The sequence below is a fragment of the Homo sapiens genome, chromosome 19 (genome assembly GCF_000001405.40).
Source record: "Homo sapiens chromosome 19, GRCh38.p14 Primary Assembly".
Classification (NCBI taxonomy): domain Eukaryota; kingdom Metazoa; phylum Chordata; class Mammalia; order Primates; family Hominidae; genus Homo; species Homo sapiens.
Genome location: NC_000019.10, coordinates 13,350,558 through 13,368,700, shown reverse-complemented (window position 1 = coordinate 13,368,700; position 18,143 = coordinate 13,350,558). Strand labels below are relative to the sequence as shown.

The 18,143-nt window shown below is 47.6% G+C and overlaps 1 protein-coding gene across 5 annotated transcripts in view; it reads left to right on the top strand.

Moving 5' to 3' along the window:
* The window catches only part of CACNA1A (calcium voltage-gated channel subunit alpha1 A), a 300,038-nt gene that overhangs the window by 137,779 nt on the left and 144,116 nt on the right, over positions 1–18,143 (top strand). For all 5 annotated transcript variants that reach the window (NM_001127222.2, NM_001127221.2, NM_001174080.2 and 2 more), the window contains exons 5-6: positions 3,232–3,384; positions 8,902–9,095. In NM_001127222.2, coding sequence (NP_001120694.1) covers positions 3,232–3,384; positions 8,902–9,095 — 347 coding nt within the window. The remainder of the gene's footprint in view (positions 1–3,231; positions 3,385–8,901; positions 9,096–18,143) is intronic.

The following is an 18,143-nucleotide window of genomic DNA, read 5'->3' as shown; positions in this document are numbered from 1 at the left end:
GACAGCTTCCCTCTCTTACTGTGGTCTCCACCCATCAAGAGCCATGGGAAGTTCCTGCAATCAAGAAGCAAAGCCTCAGGCTATATGTTTGAACCTTCATTTTGATCATAGACTTTCCTAGTAGATACCATAGTGGTTACAAACATAGGATGTTGTCATCGTTCAGACCTGAGTTAATAGCCTCAAGAAAAAAATGGTAGTGGAACCAGGTATGGTGAAGTGTGCCTGTAGTCCCACCTACTCGGGAGGCTGAGGCAGGAGGCTCGCTTGTGCCCAGGAGGTCAAGGCTGCAGTGAGCCGTGATCATGCCACTGTATTCCAGCCTGGGTGACAGAGCAAGCCCATCTCAAAAAAAAAAAAAAGCCAATGATAGGCAGAGAAATACTAACTAAGGCTCTTGCTCTGTCGCCAGGCTGGAGTGCAGTGGTGCAATCACAGCTCAGTACAGCCTCAACCTCCCCAGACTCAAGCAATCCTACCATCTCAGCCTCCCAAATAGCTGGGACTCCAGGCACACAGCACCATGCCCAGTTAATTTTTTTGTATTTTGTAGAGACAGGGTTTCACCACGCTGCTCAGGCTGGTCTCAAACTCCTGAGTTCAAGTGATCCACCCGCCTCAGCCTCCCAAAGTGCTGGGATTACAGGTGTGAGCCACCACGCTTGGCCAGCTATTATTATTATTAACATTCTTCGAGTCTTACAACAGTGGAACTTTTAGTGCAGGATGCGAATTTCAGTATTAACCCCTTCCTCTCCCAAAAGGATTTGAAGCCCAGAGTAATTCAGCCGCCATGAATGAACCATTTGTTAGATGAGAGGCTACTGGAGGCTGAGCTTGGTAGGATAAGAGCTTGCATGGGGTCCCTGATTGATGACAATACCCCCAGATTTAGGTCTTCAGATGCCCAGTTGGGTGTGTCTTCTGTTCCACTGTGTCCCTTCGGGGACTGTTCCCTGCCTTCTTTCTTTTTGAGATGGAATCTCGCACTTTCACCCAGGCTGGAGTGCAATGGCGTGATCTCAGCTCACTGCAAGCTCCACCTCCCGGGTTCACACCATTCTCCTGCCTCAGCCTCCCGAGTAGCCAGGACTACAGGTGCCCGCCACCACGCCCAGCTAATTTTTTTGTATTTTTAGTAGAGACGGGGTTTCACCATATTAGCCAGGATGGTCTCGATCTCCTGACCTCGTGATCTGCCCGCCTCGGCCTCCCAAAGTGCTGGGATTACAGGCGTGAGCCACCACACCTGGCCCCCTGCCTTCTTATTCACCACCATCTTTCTGAATTGGGTTGCTCAGAACAGAGAAAGCAACATCAGCACATGGGCAAACATGGGGCTTCATTTCAGATGGACCTGGGTTCAAATCCTAGTTCTGCCTTTTTTTTTTTTTTTTTTTTTTTTTGAGACAGAGTCTTGCTCTGTCACCCAGACTGGAGTACAGTGGCGTCATCTTGGCTCACTGCAACCTCTGCCTCCCAAGTTCAAGCAATTCTCCTTCCTCAGCCTCCCAAGTAGCTGGGATTACAGGCGCTGGCCACCATGCCCAGATAATTTTTTGTATTTTTAGTAGAGATGGGGTTTCACCATGTTGGCCAGACTTGTCTTGAACTCCTGACCTCGTTAATCCGCTGGCCTCGGCTTCCCAAAGTGCTGGGATTAGAGGCGTGAACCGCCGCCGCGCCCTGCCTAGTTCTGCCATTTCTCATGCATTCTCTGGGTGAATCACAGCATCTCTGTTAGCCTTGCTTCCCACTTCTGTAAAATGAGAGTGACTTTACATGTATGGCCACCTCAGGGGCTTGTCACTAGAAGCCAGTGAAATAATGTTGAGTCTGGTTCCTTGGGGTTGAAATTGGGACCGCCAACCGCTTTCCTACCCAGAGCAGCAACTAGCCTATATGGCGGCCTTTTATGAATGAGGAAAAGACACCGCCTCTTGGCAGAAAAAAAAAATTAAGAAAATGGCTCCCTCTTCTGGGTGCAAGTTGCCCAACACCCAGGAATATGGCTCCAAAAGCAATGGACTCCCACCCCTTTCTTGCCCAAAAGATCATCAAATGGAACAGCATGTCAAATACCTTTATTAAGTACTTTAAAGTTGGCTGGGCTCTGTGGCTCATGCCTGTAATCCCAGAACTTTGGGAGGCAGAGGCTGGAAGATCGCTTGAGGTCAGGAGTTCGAGACCAGCCTGGATAACATAGTGAGACCCTGTCTCTATAAAATATATATATAGATTTATTTGAGACAGCGTCTTGCTCTGCCACTCAGGCTGGGGCGCAGTGGCACAATCATAGCTCACTGCAGCCTTAACGATCCTCCTGCCTCAGTCCCTAGAGTAGCTAGGACTACAGGCATGCACCATCATGCCTGGCTAATTAAAATAAATAAATAAATAAATACTTTAAAGTTAAAAGTGCTTTTTAAAAAATAATAAGGCCAGGCGTGGAGACTCACGTCTGTAATCCCAGAACTTTGGAAGACCGAGGCGGGTGGATCACGAGGTCAGGAGATCGAGACCATCCTGGCTAACACGGTGAAACCCTGTCTCCACTAAAAATATGAAAAATTAGCTGGGCCTACTCGGGAGGCTGAGGCAGGAGAATGGCGTAAACCTGGGAGGCGGAGCTTGCAGTGAGCCGAGATGGCACCACTGCACTCCAGCCTGGGCGATATAACAAGACTCTGTCTCAAAAAAAATAAATAAAATAAATAATAATAATAATAGGGGCCAGGTATGGTGGCTCACACCTATAATCCTAGCACTTTAGGAGGCTGAGGAGTTTGAGTCCTTGGAGACCAGGGGTTTCAGGCCAGCCTGGGCAACATAGCAAGACCCCATCTCTACAAACAAGTTTTAAAACTTAGCCAGGCATGGTGGTGCATGCCTGTAGTCCTAGCTATTGCAGGGACTGAGGCAGGAGGATCACCTGAGCCCAGGAGGTTGAGGCTGCAGTGAGCTGTGATTGTGCCACTGCACTCCAGCCTGGGCAGCAGTGCAAAACCCTGTCTCAAAGGAAAAAAAAAACCTAGGAAGTGTTGTTCCCATGATAAGGATCAGCCTCCGTGTGGTGCTTCCTTCACCATTGCCCAATCCCCAGGCTCCTGGGTGCTTAATGTTCCCTCAGGAACACACCTGCTTTGTCTGGGAGAGACCTGGGCGTCTTGGTGGCGGGGTTTGGGGGTACTTGCTCATGGGCTTATGGGGCCTCTCTCTGTGTCCCCCCAGGTTTACAAGTCGTCCTGAAGTCGATCATGAAGGCGATGATCCCTTTGCTGCAGATCGGCCTCCTCCTATTTTTTGCAATCCTTATTTTTGCAATCATAGGGTTAGAATTTTATATGGGAAAATTTCATACCACCTGCTTTGAAGAGGGGACAGGTAGGTCCACGGAGCATGATGCATCTTTCCAGTTTTCTCCTTCAGGGACAAGCTCTTGGGAGGATTAGGCAGGGGTGTGCTTCTTTCTCCTGGCAGCTGGGAGGACCGTCTCCTTCAGAGAGCACTACAGGAGAGGCAGTGAGTGAAATAGCCTCTGAGATCTTAGCTGTTGAAAGGGGTGGGGTTCCACAGAAGGTGACCCAGCAGAGAAAGAGTTTATTTGGGAATGATCCCAGGAAGCACCATCGGGGGAATGAGGAAGTGAGCAGAGAAAGAAGGGATCTTTTAAAGAGTGTGCTATCAAGCGGGTTACCACTTAAAACTGGGACTGGATCCCCCTGGGCACCTCTGGGAGACAGCAAAGAACACACAACTCAGCTGGTCACGGTGGCTCACGCCTGTAATCCCAGCACTTTGGGGGGCCAAGGCGGGTGGATCACCTGAGATCAGGAGTCAGAGACCATCCTGGCCAACATGGTGAAACCCCATCTGTACTAAAAAATACAAAAATTAGCTGGGTGTGGTGGCAGGCACCTGTAGTCCCAATTACTCAGGAGGCTGAGGCAGGAGAATCACTTGAACCCGGGAGGCAGAAGTTGCAGTGAGCCAAGATCACACCACTGCACTCCAGCCTGGCGAAAGAGTGAGACTCCATCTCAAATAAATAAATAAATAAAAATATAAATAAAAAAAGAACACACACCTCAGAGCCGTCCCAGCCAAGGGGCAAGGGAGCTGGGGTATTTATACACTGGCTTCTTTTTGACATTGGTGAGGACTGCTCCTAGAGTGGGAATTAATGCCTGGCACATCTGGCTGAGTGGAACAGGTATTCTGGGTGCTTTCAGACCTCGACCAGTCCTGACTTCTAAAGCAAGCAAGAAGTGGGGAGAGTTGGGCCAGAAAAGGGTTATTGCCTCAATGCATTGTGAGTGGTACCTTGTGGAAGGTGAGAGACAGAGAAGATTCCAGGCACAGGTGCCATGCTAAACGATAGTTCTCATTTATTATAGGAACCCATGGATTTATTTTGTTCTCTGCCCTGAGTGCTGGGTGAGAGTACTGGATGAGTCCTCCTGGTCTCCCCCAACCCCCAGGATGTACCAGAGATACCCCAATTGGGAGTCCTGGCACCAACCAATCAGAACCTAGCACTCAGCAGCATTCTGCCCCTCCCTGACTATGCCCACATTAACCCTTCAGTGGCTGGGTCTGGGGGTAGGGTGAGCCCCGGAAAAGCCAGGCAGCGCAGAGACACTCTCCCAGGGCTCAGCTCTGAACCAGCAGTGTGGAAGCAGTGTGTCCACCACGATCCACACTCAGGAACCAAATAGCCCTTGGATACGTTTTCAGTTAAATCTTTGCCATCCAAACTCTAGCTGCTTGCTCTCTAAAGCTCCAGAATGAAATGGAATCAAGTAGGAAGGGATGCCTTCAGTATTTCAGTATTTGGACCACTGGCCATCTGGGTGCAGACAGACTGAATAGCAGTTCTGGTTCTGATGATTTGGGTCAAGGGAGCTGTGAATTGAAGGAGTGGATAGAAGGAATCAAGAAGCCCAAAGGGGAACCCAGGTGGGCAGAGAAAGAGGTTTCAGGCCCCTTATTTGGGAAAGGCAGCCACAGAAGAAGATTCTGTCTGGGAGTGGATTTCCACCCACCCTCTCCACCCAGTGACCCCCAAGTGGATCCGCAGAGGCAGCCCCTGAGCCCTCCCTCCCCACTCCTCCCCACGGGGAGGGAAAACCCACTGGGGAAGGTTTATTTGCAATGGTTGGAGGTTTGGGTTTTTTTGTGGGTTTTGGTTTGTTGGTTTTTTTTTTCCTCTTTTTCTCTTGCTCCTCCTGTCTCTTTCTCTCCTGGGCTTGTGAAGTTTGCTCAATATGGAATGTCCTAATTATTTCTTTCCCCGATGAAGAAGGTGTTAATTGAGGCAGAGCTATTTCTGCTCCTGGCCTCGTCACCCAGGCGGAAATGCGAGAGAGAGAGAGAGAGAGAGAGAGAATGAATATGGGGCAGGGCCTCTTGGAAAAATCAGCCGTGAGCAGAGAAACCAGGACTCCTGGATCCTAGGTTTCTGTGAAGTTTTATTTTATGTTTTTCTACCCTAGACTAGCTAAAGGAGAAGAGGCCATGGGGTTGGCTTGGGTCCGAGTGGGGTTTTGAGGGGACAGATGTGGGTGGTGCCACCAGAGGGGAGGAAGCCTCGATTTAGGAGAAAGACTGAAAAGCTAGCTCACGATTAAAAATATAAGACGTGTGAGTAAGAGACAGATATATACAGACACCCAGGCAGTGGGTTAATTTTAAAATGTATTTATAACCGAATTCCTCAGACACTCTGGACGCTTGTTTTTCTAGAAGCAACGCTCAGAGTGTTTCGTGTCGGTGGTTGGGGGGTTGAGGGGGATTGCAAAGCTGCTAAAGATAGACCCGTTTTCAGTAGCATTCCTCAGTGTCGGGAGCCCAGTTCCTGTGTGCCCAGCACCGTGCCAATCGCTTAGAAGGAAGCAAAGATAAAGTGGAAGGCTTCCTGCTTTCTAAGAGCTTCCAAAATAGTTAGAGGAAACAAGACCCCTCATTTGCAGCCATTTTTAACAGTGAAGGCTAATGTGTGATTATACCCACGCCCCCCTAAATATGAAAATTCAGTAGCTATTGTATGCCTGAAAGGGGCCAGGTGCAGTGGCTCACACCTGTAATCCCAGCACTTTGAGAGGCTGAGGTGGGAGTATCCCTTGAGGCCGTTAGTTTGAGACCAGCCTAGGCAACATAGCCAGACCCTGTCTCTGCTAAAATAAAAATTTAAAAATTGGCCGGGTGCAGTGGCTCACGCCTGTAATCCCAGCACTTTGGGAGGCCGAGGCAGGCGGATCAAAAGGTCAGGAGTTCAAGACCAGCCTGGCCAACATAGTGAAACCCCGTCTCTACTAAAAATACAAAAAAAATAAATTAGCCGGGCATGGTGGCGTGTGCCTGTAGTACCACATACTTGAGAGGCTGAGGCAGGAGAATCACTTGAACCTGGGACATAGAGGTTACAGTGAGCCGAGATCACGCTACTGCACTCCAGCTTGGGCAACAGAGTGAGATTTTGTCTCAAAATAAAAAAATTTAAAAATTAGCCATGAGTGGTGGTACATGCCTATAGTCCTAGCTACTCAGGAGGCTGAGGAAGAAGGATCACTTGAGCCCAGGAATTGGAGGCTGCAAGGCTGCAGTAAGCTATGATGGTGCCCGCACTCCAGCCTGGGTGACAAAGTGAGACCCTGTCTCAAAAAAAAAAAAAAAAAGAGAGAGAGGAAGGAAAGAAGGAAGGAAGGGAGGGAGGGAGGGACTGGGGCTGTGTTAACTGGGCTACACAAAGAGGCTACATGGAGGGTGGGAATTGAGCCAGACTTGGACATGGCGTGGAGACAGAGAAGATTCCAGGCACAGGTGCCATGCTAAACGATAGTTCTCATTTATTATAGGAACCCATGGATTTATTTTGTTCTCTGCCCTGAGCCTTATGTTTAAAAGATTTTTGCCTTCCAACCTGTATTTATCAAATAATAGTTCATGTACCAAGTCCAGCATAAGTGAGGAAGGCGTTTCCAACAACTTAAGTTCATGGCGAGGCTAGACTTGGAGTTTCTATTCAGCCAGAGCTTGAAAGGCCAACAAGATTCATTCATTCAGCATTGGTTTATTTCCCTCTGCTGTGTGCTCAGTCAAGGGAGCAGAGAATTGGTGCTGCGAAGTCTGTAGCACATACATTGAGAGATATTTTTGTTGAGTAGGAAGCTTGAGTTTACACACACTCAGCTGTTTGTTTTCTTGTCCGACAATGCCACGGTCGTCTTTGAAAACCTTCAAAAGCATCGCTCACAGAATAAGGTCCTCTCAGACCCGCTGTGCTGGTAAAATGAGGACACTCCCAGATGTGAGCTTTCCTGCCTCCCTACCCCATCAATACCTTAAGATTTGGACTGACCTTTAGCGTTCAGCCTGACTGCCACCTCCCCAGGAAGCTGTCTTTGGTTTCCAGCAAAAGGGGTGTCTGTTGGCACGTTTCTCTCTCCTTGTGGCATTTTCACAGCCTGCCTCCTGCTATTTGGGGAGAAAGCTCAGCTCCTGTTCCTTACCCTTAGGCAAGGGTAGGAACTGTGTGTACTGGTGTCCCTCACCCCCAGAACAGCTCCCTGAGCCCAGTACATCCCAAGAAGAAAAAAATCAGCAAGGCTTATAGGAGAATAACACAATGCGCTTGACAAATTTGTCCTAATGGATGTCGGAAGAAGGCTGCACTTACCAGCTACACCATGCACACGGCACATTTACTAAAACTGACTATATTATGGACCATAAAGTTTGTCTCAACAGAGGTCAAAAAGCTGAAAAAAATACAAATACAAAACATATTTTCTGACCGTAATGCAATTAAGCTGGAAATCAGTAACAAAAAGAGAACTCTAAAAGTGTTTGCAGATTAACAGACATGCCTCTCATTTATGGATGAAATGATATGATGTCTGAGCTTTGCTTTAAAAATATTCTAGGCTGGGTGCAGTGGCTCACGCCTGTAATCCCAGCACTTTGGAGGCCGAGGCGGGCGGATCACTTGAGGTCAGGAGTTCGAGACCAGCCTGGCCAACATGGTGAAACCCCATCTCCACTAAAAATACAAAGATTATCCAGGTGTGGTGGTGGCCACCTATAATCCCAGCTACTTGGGAGCCTGAGGCAGGAGAATCCCTTGAACCTGGGAGTCGGAGATTGTAGTGAGGTGAGATCATGCCATTGCACTCCAGCCTGGGTGACAGAATGAGACTCCGTCTCAAAAAAAAAAAAAAAAAAAAATTCTAGTGGCAAGGCAAAGTGTTTGGAGGGGATACAGAGGAATAGATGAAACAAAATTTGCCAGAAGTAAATAGGTAAGTGTCTAAATTGGTGATAGGTACATGGTGAATCATTATATTGTTTTATACTTCTCTCTCGCTCTCTCTCTCCCCCCGTTCTCTCCCTGTCTTCCTCTCCCCTCTGTCTTCATATATATATATATATATATACACACACACACACACAGACACCTAATAAGTTTTTTTAAAAAACAAATACATCTAAATTACCCATAGGTCAAAGAAGAAATAATAATGGAAATTAGAAAATATTTTACTTGAACAATAATGATAATGCATGACAAAATGTTGAGATGCAGGTAAAGCCACACTTAAAGGCAATTTATAGCCTTAAAGGCAGTTAATCCATCCATCTCAAAAGTTTAGGAAAAGAATAGAAAAAAAAAAAAAACTCATGGAAAACATAAAGAGAAAAGTAGTAAAGCTCAGAGAAGAAATTAATCAATAGAAAACCAATAATAGACCCCCAAAGCCAAACATTGATCTCTTTGAAGACTGATCACGTTTGTCCCAAAAGTTATTCGTTCCAACAGCATTATAGAGTCACTGGTCCCTATTTCTCAGAGCTGGTTTTCCCTGCTCCTTCCCCTGACTTTTCTCCCCTTCCCTTTTGTAGATGACATTCAGGGTGAGTCTCCGGCTCCATGTGGGACAGAAGAGCCCGCCCGCACCTGCCCCAATGGGACCAAATGTCAGCCCTACTGGGAAGGGCCCAACAACGGGATCACTCAGTTCGACAACATCCTGTTTGCAGTGCTGACTGTTTTCCAGTGCATAACCATGGAAGGGTGGACTGATCTCCTCTACAATGTAAGTGATGCTGGGACAGTGTGTGTGGACAATCAGAGTCTCAGGGAGGTGGCCTCCTGGGACCAGTGAGACTCCAAGGCTGCAATGGAGGGACCCTGAGCTGGGAAAGGCAGCCCAAGGACAACACAGCCCCACTGAAGCTGGCCTGAGGCTCAGGCTTTTGAAGATTACAGGGGCTCATGAGCAGAACTCTAACTATAGGGCATAGAAGTCTGGAGGGCCCCCAGATGCAACATCATTTTTCATTGTGCAAGTGTTTAGATATAATTTTAGATTTTTGAATACGGAAAGGTTATGTGATCCAAAAACCAACACAGATAAAAGATAGAGTAATATCTTTGGACGTAGGCGAGGGGTCCCTGCCCTGAGGCTCACCCAGTCCTTCTCCAGCCATACCACTCCCCGTGGGATGAGAAGTTCCTGGAGCCAAGGGGATGTGTCTACCAAGAGCTTGTGCCCCACTTTGTAGGCCATGTTTTAAGTTACCAGGATCCTGGAATTCCCTGCCCATGGCCAGATTCCATGAACTTGCGTGCAATTCTCATATGGATCTGTTCGTAACCCAACTGAGGGCCAAGGACATCCGAGGGGTGGCTGTTAACACAAATGTGGCCAGAGCTTGGATGTACAAGCTGGAATGCCCACACATATGTGTGGAGCCCCTCTGGCAGGACAGAGCCATGACTAAGAAGAGAAAGGGACAGGACAGGGCTGGCTCTCCCCACACCTTGACCCAGTGCAGATATCCGGATTCTAAATTCCACCCTGACCTTCCAAAGTGTAAAGGAAGGTATATTTGCAAAGTAGAAGCACACAGCATGTTTTATTTAGTTACCTTTTCAATATTTCCCCGTAGTATGTGGTCTGCTTTTGTACTCTTGCCCTAGATCTTAAAAATGTTAGGGATGTTTCTGGAAAGATGTATCCCTGCCCCCACTTGCATGCTACTTCCTCTTCCCACAATATGCAACCCCTTTAGTTCCTCAGAATATCCTTCCAATGTTTATTTATGCAATTATAATTATAAGCATAATCGAATCTATGTCCTCCCCCCTCTTTCTTATCCCAAGGAGTAGCATTCTATACATGCTGTTCAATTCTGTGATTTTTGTTTTCTCATAACCACACGTTCTAGAGATCTTTCCACTGCAGGACATGGACAGTCTCTTCACGGGTGCACACTAGTATGCCCAGCTAATTTTTGTAGAGACAGGGTTCTTCCGTGTTGCCCAGGCAGGTCTGGAACTCCTGGGCTCAAGCAATCCTCCCGCCTCTGCCTCCCAAAGTGCTGGGATTACAGGCGTGAGCCACCACGCCTGGCCTTCTTTATTCTTTTGCACAGCTGCATAGCATTCTATTGTGTGGCTGCCCATAGTTTTATTTGTTTGCCATTAAGAGAAATGCTTGACTGGCTTCCTGTCCACTGACATGGAACATGATGCTGCTCTGCCAGGAGCATGTTGCACGTACCTCTTCATACTTTTGCAGATATAGCTAGGGGGTTGGAGGGTCTCCATTCCCAGAAGTGGGATTGCAGGATCAAAGACTAAATGCATTTATAATTTTATTTTTGGGGAAGATTTTTGTTTTGTTTTTTTGGAGACAAGGTCTCCCTCTGTCGTCCAGGCTGGAGCGCAGTGGTGTAATCATAGCTCACTGCAGCCTTAAACTCCTGGGCTCAGGTGATCCTCCCACCCCAGCCTCCTGAGTAGCTGGGACCACAGGCACACACCACCATACCTAGCTAATTTTTAAGAACAATTTTATAGAGATGGGGTCTCACTATGTTTCCCAGGCTGCTCTCAGACTCCTGGCCTCAAGCAATCCTCCTGCCTCAGCCTCCCAAAGTGCTAGGATTACAGGTGTGAGCCACTGCACCCAGCCTAAATGCATTTATAATTTTGATAGATATTTAGGTGTGCAAGTTTTAAACCCCACTCTGTCCTCACCACAGTTCACCTTCCCTCACCTACTATGCAGGTAAGCAGTCCCCAGGCAGGTCACTTGTCAGCAGCTGGAGTGGGGCAGAGCCAAGGATTCAGGATCAAACACAAGGATGCCACAACTGTAGTGACCCCATAGAGCACCCTGGGGCTGCTCCATACACACAGCTCTGTTGACCAGTGGAGGTCTCCTCTTCACCTGCCCTAAGGGCTGAAATTACCATTGAAGTTTAGGCCAGCGGTTGGCCTGACCCGGGAGCAATACCTGGCTTCCTCCTCCTGTACATAGAGAAGCTGAACTTTCCTCTTGGTCCTAGTGTATGTTCCTTAACAACCCATTTATGCCTAGTGTTCCATTATTGGAATGCTAATCCTGTGGGAGTTATTTACATCCTGCTGCTCAAGGTCATCACTAAGGTCGGATTTTTCACACACACAAAAATTGCAACCTCCGGCATAAATGGGTTAAGGAATTTCCCCACTTGTGGGTGGAGGGAGATTTGCAAAAACTCATCCTTGTAATCCTGATCAACAAAGGCCCGTTTTAGTTGGGAGTAGGCAGCAAAAGGAGCCACATGAACAGTTGCGCCTGTCACGCACTGCACAAGAATGTCATTCATATCATAGACAACATACGATTTCTACTGTTATCCTGATAATTTATTGACAGAAAAAAGGATGTGGGGAAGGGACATGGTGTTCTAATTTGCATGAAAACCTCGTCTGAGTGTAGCATCTCTGGGAACATGCAGCAGATCCGAGCTCAGGCCCTCTCTTGGCCGTCACCTGCAAACAGCTTGGACAAAGGGTCAGCCCAATTGGCCAAAACTCACTGGGGAATTTTTGTGGGTTCTAGGTTTTTACTTTGCAAGGCTGGTGTGAGAGGAGGTTCCAGCAGGAAATGAACCCTCCTGAGAGGGAAAGAGACTGGGAAATGGAGAAGGCTGGGAACTCAGGGAGAGAATGGGAGTGGGGAATGGGAGCTGAAAAAAATTGTGAGCATAAAAAAGGGATATGTCACAGGGTTGGATGACCAGAGAAAGCGTCTGGGGGTTCAGATTAAGATGCTGGGGGCGTGCCCAGTGGTGGGACAGGAAGCATGAATTTCCAGAGGGCTCGGTTATAAACATCATTGTCCAATGGGTGTTTCCCTTGGAAGCCTCTAAGCTTAGAGCTAAGCCACCTCTGGGGACACAAACTGAGTGGTTAAGAGCAGAGACTCAGGTGTCAGCCTGTCTGGGTTCCTTCCGACTCTTCCACTTCCTTGCTGTGCAGCCTTCGGCAAGGTGCTTGGCCTCTCTGTGCCACTATTTCCACATGTGCAAAACGAAGAGAAGCATAGTCCCACCTCACAAGGCACGAGGACTAAGTAAGGTGGATTCGCATGAAGTGTTTAGAACTGATCCTGGCCCGGGGTGACCTCCGTGTAAGTCAAATTCCCCACCCTGCATGGTGTTCCTTTTAGAAATGTGCATGAATTTTTCATTAGAACAGCTCCAGCAGTGCCTGAGGAAGTGGAGTGAGGTGTGAGAGGTCTTACTTTATTCCCCTCGCTGGCCCTGCTATTAACCACTAACTCAGAGTAGCTTTCTAGCACTTTCCACACATTTACATCCCACCCTCGTCCTTTGGTTAGCAGCCCATGCAATGATTTGGCCTTAATGTGAACCTAGAACACAGCTTCTCGCCCAGGGATGATTTCTGCCCCCAGGGGACACTTGGCAGTGGCTGCAGACATTTTTGGTTGTCACAACTGGATGGGAAGAAGGAGGATGCTATTGGCATCAAGTGGGTAAAGGCCACGGATGCTACTCAACATTCTACAATGCACAGCATCCCCCACCTCTGCCCCACCATAGAGAATGATCCAGGCCCAAATGTCAGTAAGGTTTCTGTCAGGAAACCCTGGGTCAGAAGACCAAGGTTCCTTGAGGACGGGGATGCCTTATACTGCAATCAGCTGTCACTCTCTGCCTCTCTCTGGGGCTGCTGTGATCACCTGGCCTGCATGGACAACCCCTAGGAGCAGCCCCCATCCAGTGCCTGGAGAAGTCAGTGGATAAATACCCCAGCTCCCTCCCTGTCGGGCGTTTTGCTCTGCCCTGCATCTCTCCAGTGGGATCAGGCTCTGGTTGCCCGCAGGGTTAACCTGGTCACGTACACACCCTTCACTTGCCACCTTCCCTTCCCTGTCTGGTATTTCCTGGGATGAACTTTTAGATTTATTTCCTGGGGCTGCTATAATGAAGCACCACAGACTGAGTAGCTTAAAACAACAGGAATTTATGGTCTGACAGTTCTGGAAGCCAGAAGTCCAACCCCAAGATGTTAGCAGAGCTGACAACACGCCCCTCAAAAGCCTCCGGGGGAGGATCCTTCTTTGCTTCTTCCTGGCTTTTGCTGGTTTCCCACAATCTTTGGGATTCCTTGGCTTCTAGAGCCTTCATTCTCCATTCCAGTCTTCTGTCATCTAATAGCATCCTCCCAGCCCGGGCACAGTGGCTCACGCCTGTAATCCCAGCACTTTGGGAGGCCGAGGCAGGCAGATCACTTGAGGTCAGGAGTTTGAGACCAGCCTGGCCAACATGGTGAAACCCCATCTCTACTAAAGATACAAAAATTAGCCAGGCGTGGTGGGCGGGTGCCTGTAATCCCAGCCACTTGGGAGGCTGAGGCAGGAGAATCACTTGAACCCGGGAGATGGAGGTTGCAGTGAGCCAAGATCATGCCACTGCACTCCAGCCTGGGTGACAGAATGAGACTCCGTCTCAAAAAAAAAAAAAAAAAAAAAAAGAAAAAGAAAAGCATCCTCCCTTCGTGTGTCTGTGTGTGTTCTCCTCTTCTTAGAAGGACATCAGTTGTATTGGATCAGAACCTACCCTACTCCAGTCCAACCTAATTTTAACTAATTACGTCTGCAATTACCCTATTTCCAAATAAGATCACATTCTGAGGTACCAGGGGGTTAGGACTTAAACATTTTTGTGTGTGTAGCAGGAGGACGTAATTCCATTTATAACTCCTCCTAAATAAAACGACTTGCATGTGAACTCTTGTCTGGGGCTTCCCAAAGTGAGATAACCCCTCTCTCTACCCCTAAAACAACGAGTAGCGTCTGTCAATGCCAGGGTGCAGGGGCTAAGGTGCCCATCTTTGAGTTTCTGCTGAGGAGGACACAGCTGCTACGTTGGAGCACTCTTGGGTTCTGCCTTCGTGCCCAGCCATCTCCCTTGGGCTAGCCCTGCCCTGGGTCTATCCTAGAATGAGCCTCGATCTGTTTGGCCATAGGCAAGCAGAGTGTCTGGAAATCTTTGTCCTCCATGACTGGTGCTGGAGCCGAAGCCAGTGGGTGTGGCCTTGCCAGCCAACTCCATTTACCCAGCTCTGAACAAGCTAGTAGTTGAGATCAACGGAGAGTCCAGACAGTCGCTCCAAGCATCTTGGAATCCATGGACACAGGTGTACCGCAGAGGCTTCCCACCTGGGTAGGCAGCCCTTTGTAAGATCCTGGCACCACATTTATTCTCTTAACATCCTTTCAGTTATCCAGTAATCATTTATTGAGCACCTACTGTGTGCCAGGCAATGATTAGGTGATTGGAGACACTGCAACGAAGAAGACAGACTAAAATCTCCACCCTGGTAGGAGAGACAGATGCAAATGGTAAACATGATAAATAATCAATCACCCAGAAAGCAGGAGACACTAAGCAAATGTGTATGTACTATGGGAAGCCCAATAGGAACGAAAGCTACACAAGAGAACAAGTGATGGGTGGTTCCTTAGTCTAGGTCAGGCAATCAGGGAGGGCTTCTCAGAGGAGGTGATGTTTGAGCAGAGAAGGAGGGAGCCAGGCAGATGTTTTGGAAACAGCATTCTCAGCATGGAGAACAGTGGCAGCTCACCTACAGGATGTGTTTGATTCCCTTCCAGATTTTGTATTCGTTTCTTGTTTTTCTCCCTTGGCTTCCTGGTTTAAATGCCTTTTGAAGAAATCTAAGCTCAACTAATCAGCGATGCTGTTGAAGGTTTATATCAGGATATGCATCCCAGAGTTATTTACAAAATTAGAACAAAACTGGAAGCAATTGAAAGCCTGACAATAGGAGATCAGTTAAATACCGTATGGTCCTTCCGTATGATGGCATATTATGTCATCATTAAAAATCGTCTGCTGGGAGAATATTAAGGATACAGGGGAAAGGCTCACCATATAATGATGAGTGGGGGTGCTGGGCGCAGTGGTTCATGCCTGTAATTCCAGCAATTTGGGAGTCTGAGATGGGTGGATCACTTGAGCCCAAGAGTTTGAGGCCAGCCTGGGCAACACAGTGAAACCCAATCTCTACAAAAAAAAAAAAACAAAAATACAAAAATCAGCCAGGCATAGTGGCGTACATCTGTAGTCCCAGCTACTCAGGAGGCTGAGACAGGAGGATAGGATCACTTGAGCCCTGGAGTCAGAGGTGGCAATAAGCCGTGATCACGCCACTGCACTCCAGCCTGGGCAACAGAGTGAAACCCTGTCAAAAAACAAAACAAAAAAAATGATGAGTGGGAGAAACAAGTTTTTAAACAGGGATCAAGGAGGCCAGGCATGGTGGCTCACACCTATAATCCCAGCACTTTGGGAGGCCAAGGCAGGCAGATCACCTGAGGTCAGGAGTTTGAGACCAGCCTGGCCAACATGGCGAAACCTCATCTCTACTAAAAATACAAAAATTAGCCAGGCATGGTGGCGGGCGCCTGTAATCCCAGCTACTTGGGAGGCTGAGGCAGGAAAATCGATTGAGCCCAGGAGGTGGAGGTTGCAGTGAGCTGTGATCATGCCACTGCACTCCAGCCTGGGCAACAGAGCGAAAGCTGCACGAGAGAAGAAGTGATGCATGGTTCCCTAGTCTAGGTCAGCCAATCAGGGAGGGTTCCTAAGAGGAGGTGATGTTTGAGCAGAGAAGGAGGAAGCCAGGCAGATGTTTTGGAAACAGCATTCCCAGCATGGAGAACAGTGGCAGCTCACCCTGTCTAGAAAAGAAGAAATGATAAGAGGGGAAAATGAGTTTTTAAAAAGGAATCAAGGGGAGGTAAACCTTATGATCTCAAAGGTACAAATATGAAAATATAAGTAAAGAAAAACTGGAGGACACTGTACCAAGCTGACCTTCGGGTGGTGGGATTTGGGAATCTTGATATTCTCAATACTTCTTTGTATCTTCAAATTTCTCTATGATGATCACAGTTTACTTTTTTTTTTTTTTTTTGAGATGGAGTCTCACTCTGTTGCCCAGGCTGGAGTGCAGTGGTGCGATCTTGGCTCACTTGGCTCACCTCTGGGGTTCAAGCAATTCTCCTACCTCTTCCTCCCAAGTAGCTGGGACTATAGGCATGCACCAGCATGGTCAGCTAATTTTTTGTATTTTTAGTAAAAATGGGGTTTCATCATGTTGGCCAGGCTGGTCTCGAACTCGTAAGTTCAAGTGATCCACCAACCTCAGCCTCCCAAATTGGCTTGAGCCAATTAAACTTGTCTTGCTAAATGGTTAGCGGGGAGAAAGAAGAAGGTCTCGGGTCATTCCTAGACCAGGAGGCAGGGAGAAAGGGAGGAGAATGAACCTTTCTTAGGCAAACAGTGTCCTAGGTGTCCTTATCTTACATAATCTGTCGAGAGAGTCACACTAAAATAAATCATTGATTGATTGATTGATACATCAATAATAAATGGCCAGCCTTGGTGGCTCACATCTGTAATCCCAGCTACTTAGGAAGCTGAGGTGGGAGGATTGTTTGAGACAAGGAGTTCAAGACCAGCCTGGGAAACACAGCAAGACTCATCTTAAAAAAATTTTTTTTTTTAATTAGCCAGATGCGGTGGCTCACGCCTGTAATCCCAGCACTTTGGGAGGCCGAGGCGGGTGGATCACGAGGTCAGGAATTCGAGACCAGCCTGGCCAACAGGGTGAAACCCCGTCTCTACTAAAAATACAAAAATTAGCCAGGCGTGGTGGCACACGCCTGTAGTCCCAGCTACGCAGGAGGCTGAGGCAGAAGAATCATATGAACCTGGGAAACAGAGGTTGCAGTGAGCTGAGATCACGCCATTACACTCCAGCCTGGGCAACAAGAGCAAAACTACATCTCAAAAAAAATGTTTTTTAATTAGCCGGGTGTGGTGGTCCATGTCTGTAGTTCCAGCTACTTGGGAGGCTGAGGCAGGAGGATTGCTTGAGCCCAGCAGTTCAAGGCTGCAGTGAGCTATGATCCCGCCACTGCACTCCAGCCTGGGCAACAGCAAGACCCCATCTCTTAAATAAACACATAAGTAAATAAATGATCATTTTTATTTTATTATTAAATACACAAGATAAATGAAAAACAGGCAAATCTTTCTTACAAAAGAATTCCATTTAAAGTATGTAAACTTCACTCCCCACTGCCCCAGGAGGTGGAGACTAATCTCCCCTACTTTGAGAGTGGGCTGGATTTAGTGACTCATTTCCGAAGAATAGAGTAGGTAAAGGGGAAAATAGAAGTTTTATAGCGGAGGAACAGATAGATACCACTTTAACCAAATGATGAAGATTAGTATCCCCCAGGGATGTGGATATTATGTAACCCTTGATTTTATGCCTATATAGCGTTCTTCCCAAAAACTCCTAATCCCAGTTTTTTGGGGTTTTGCTCTGTCTTCTAAGCTGGAGTGCGATGATGCAATCATAGCTCACTGCAGCTCAAACTCCTGGTCTCAAGCGATCCTCCCACCTCAACCTCCTGAATAGCTAGGGCTGTAAGCACATACCATCATGCCCAGCTAATTGTATTTTTTTGGTAGAGACATGTTCTCACACATTGCCCACGCTGTCCTCGAGCTACTGGCCTCTAGTGATCCTCCCACCCCAGCCTCCAGAGTCACTGGGATTATAGGCATGAGCCACTGTGACCAGCCCAGAATTTTTTTTTAAGGAGTTGTGATGTCGTTTAAGAGATGTGATTCTTCATAACACATCAACAACAAGTCCCAGCGATGGGTTGGATAAGTCTTGGGATTTCATGGGAGTATTAAGCTTAAAAGACTTTGCATGATATCTGTGAACTATATGTGATTTCTGT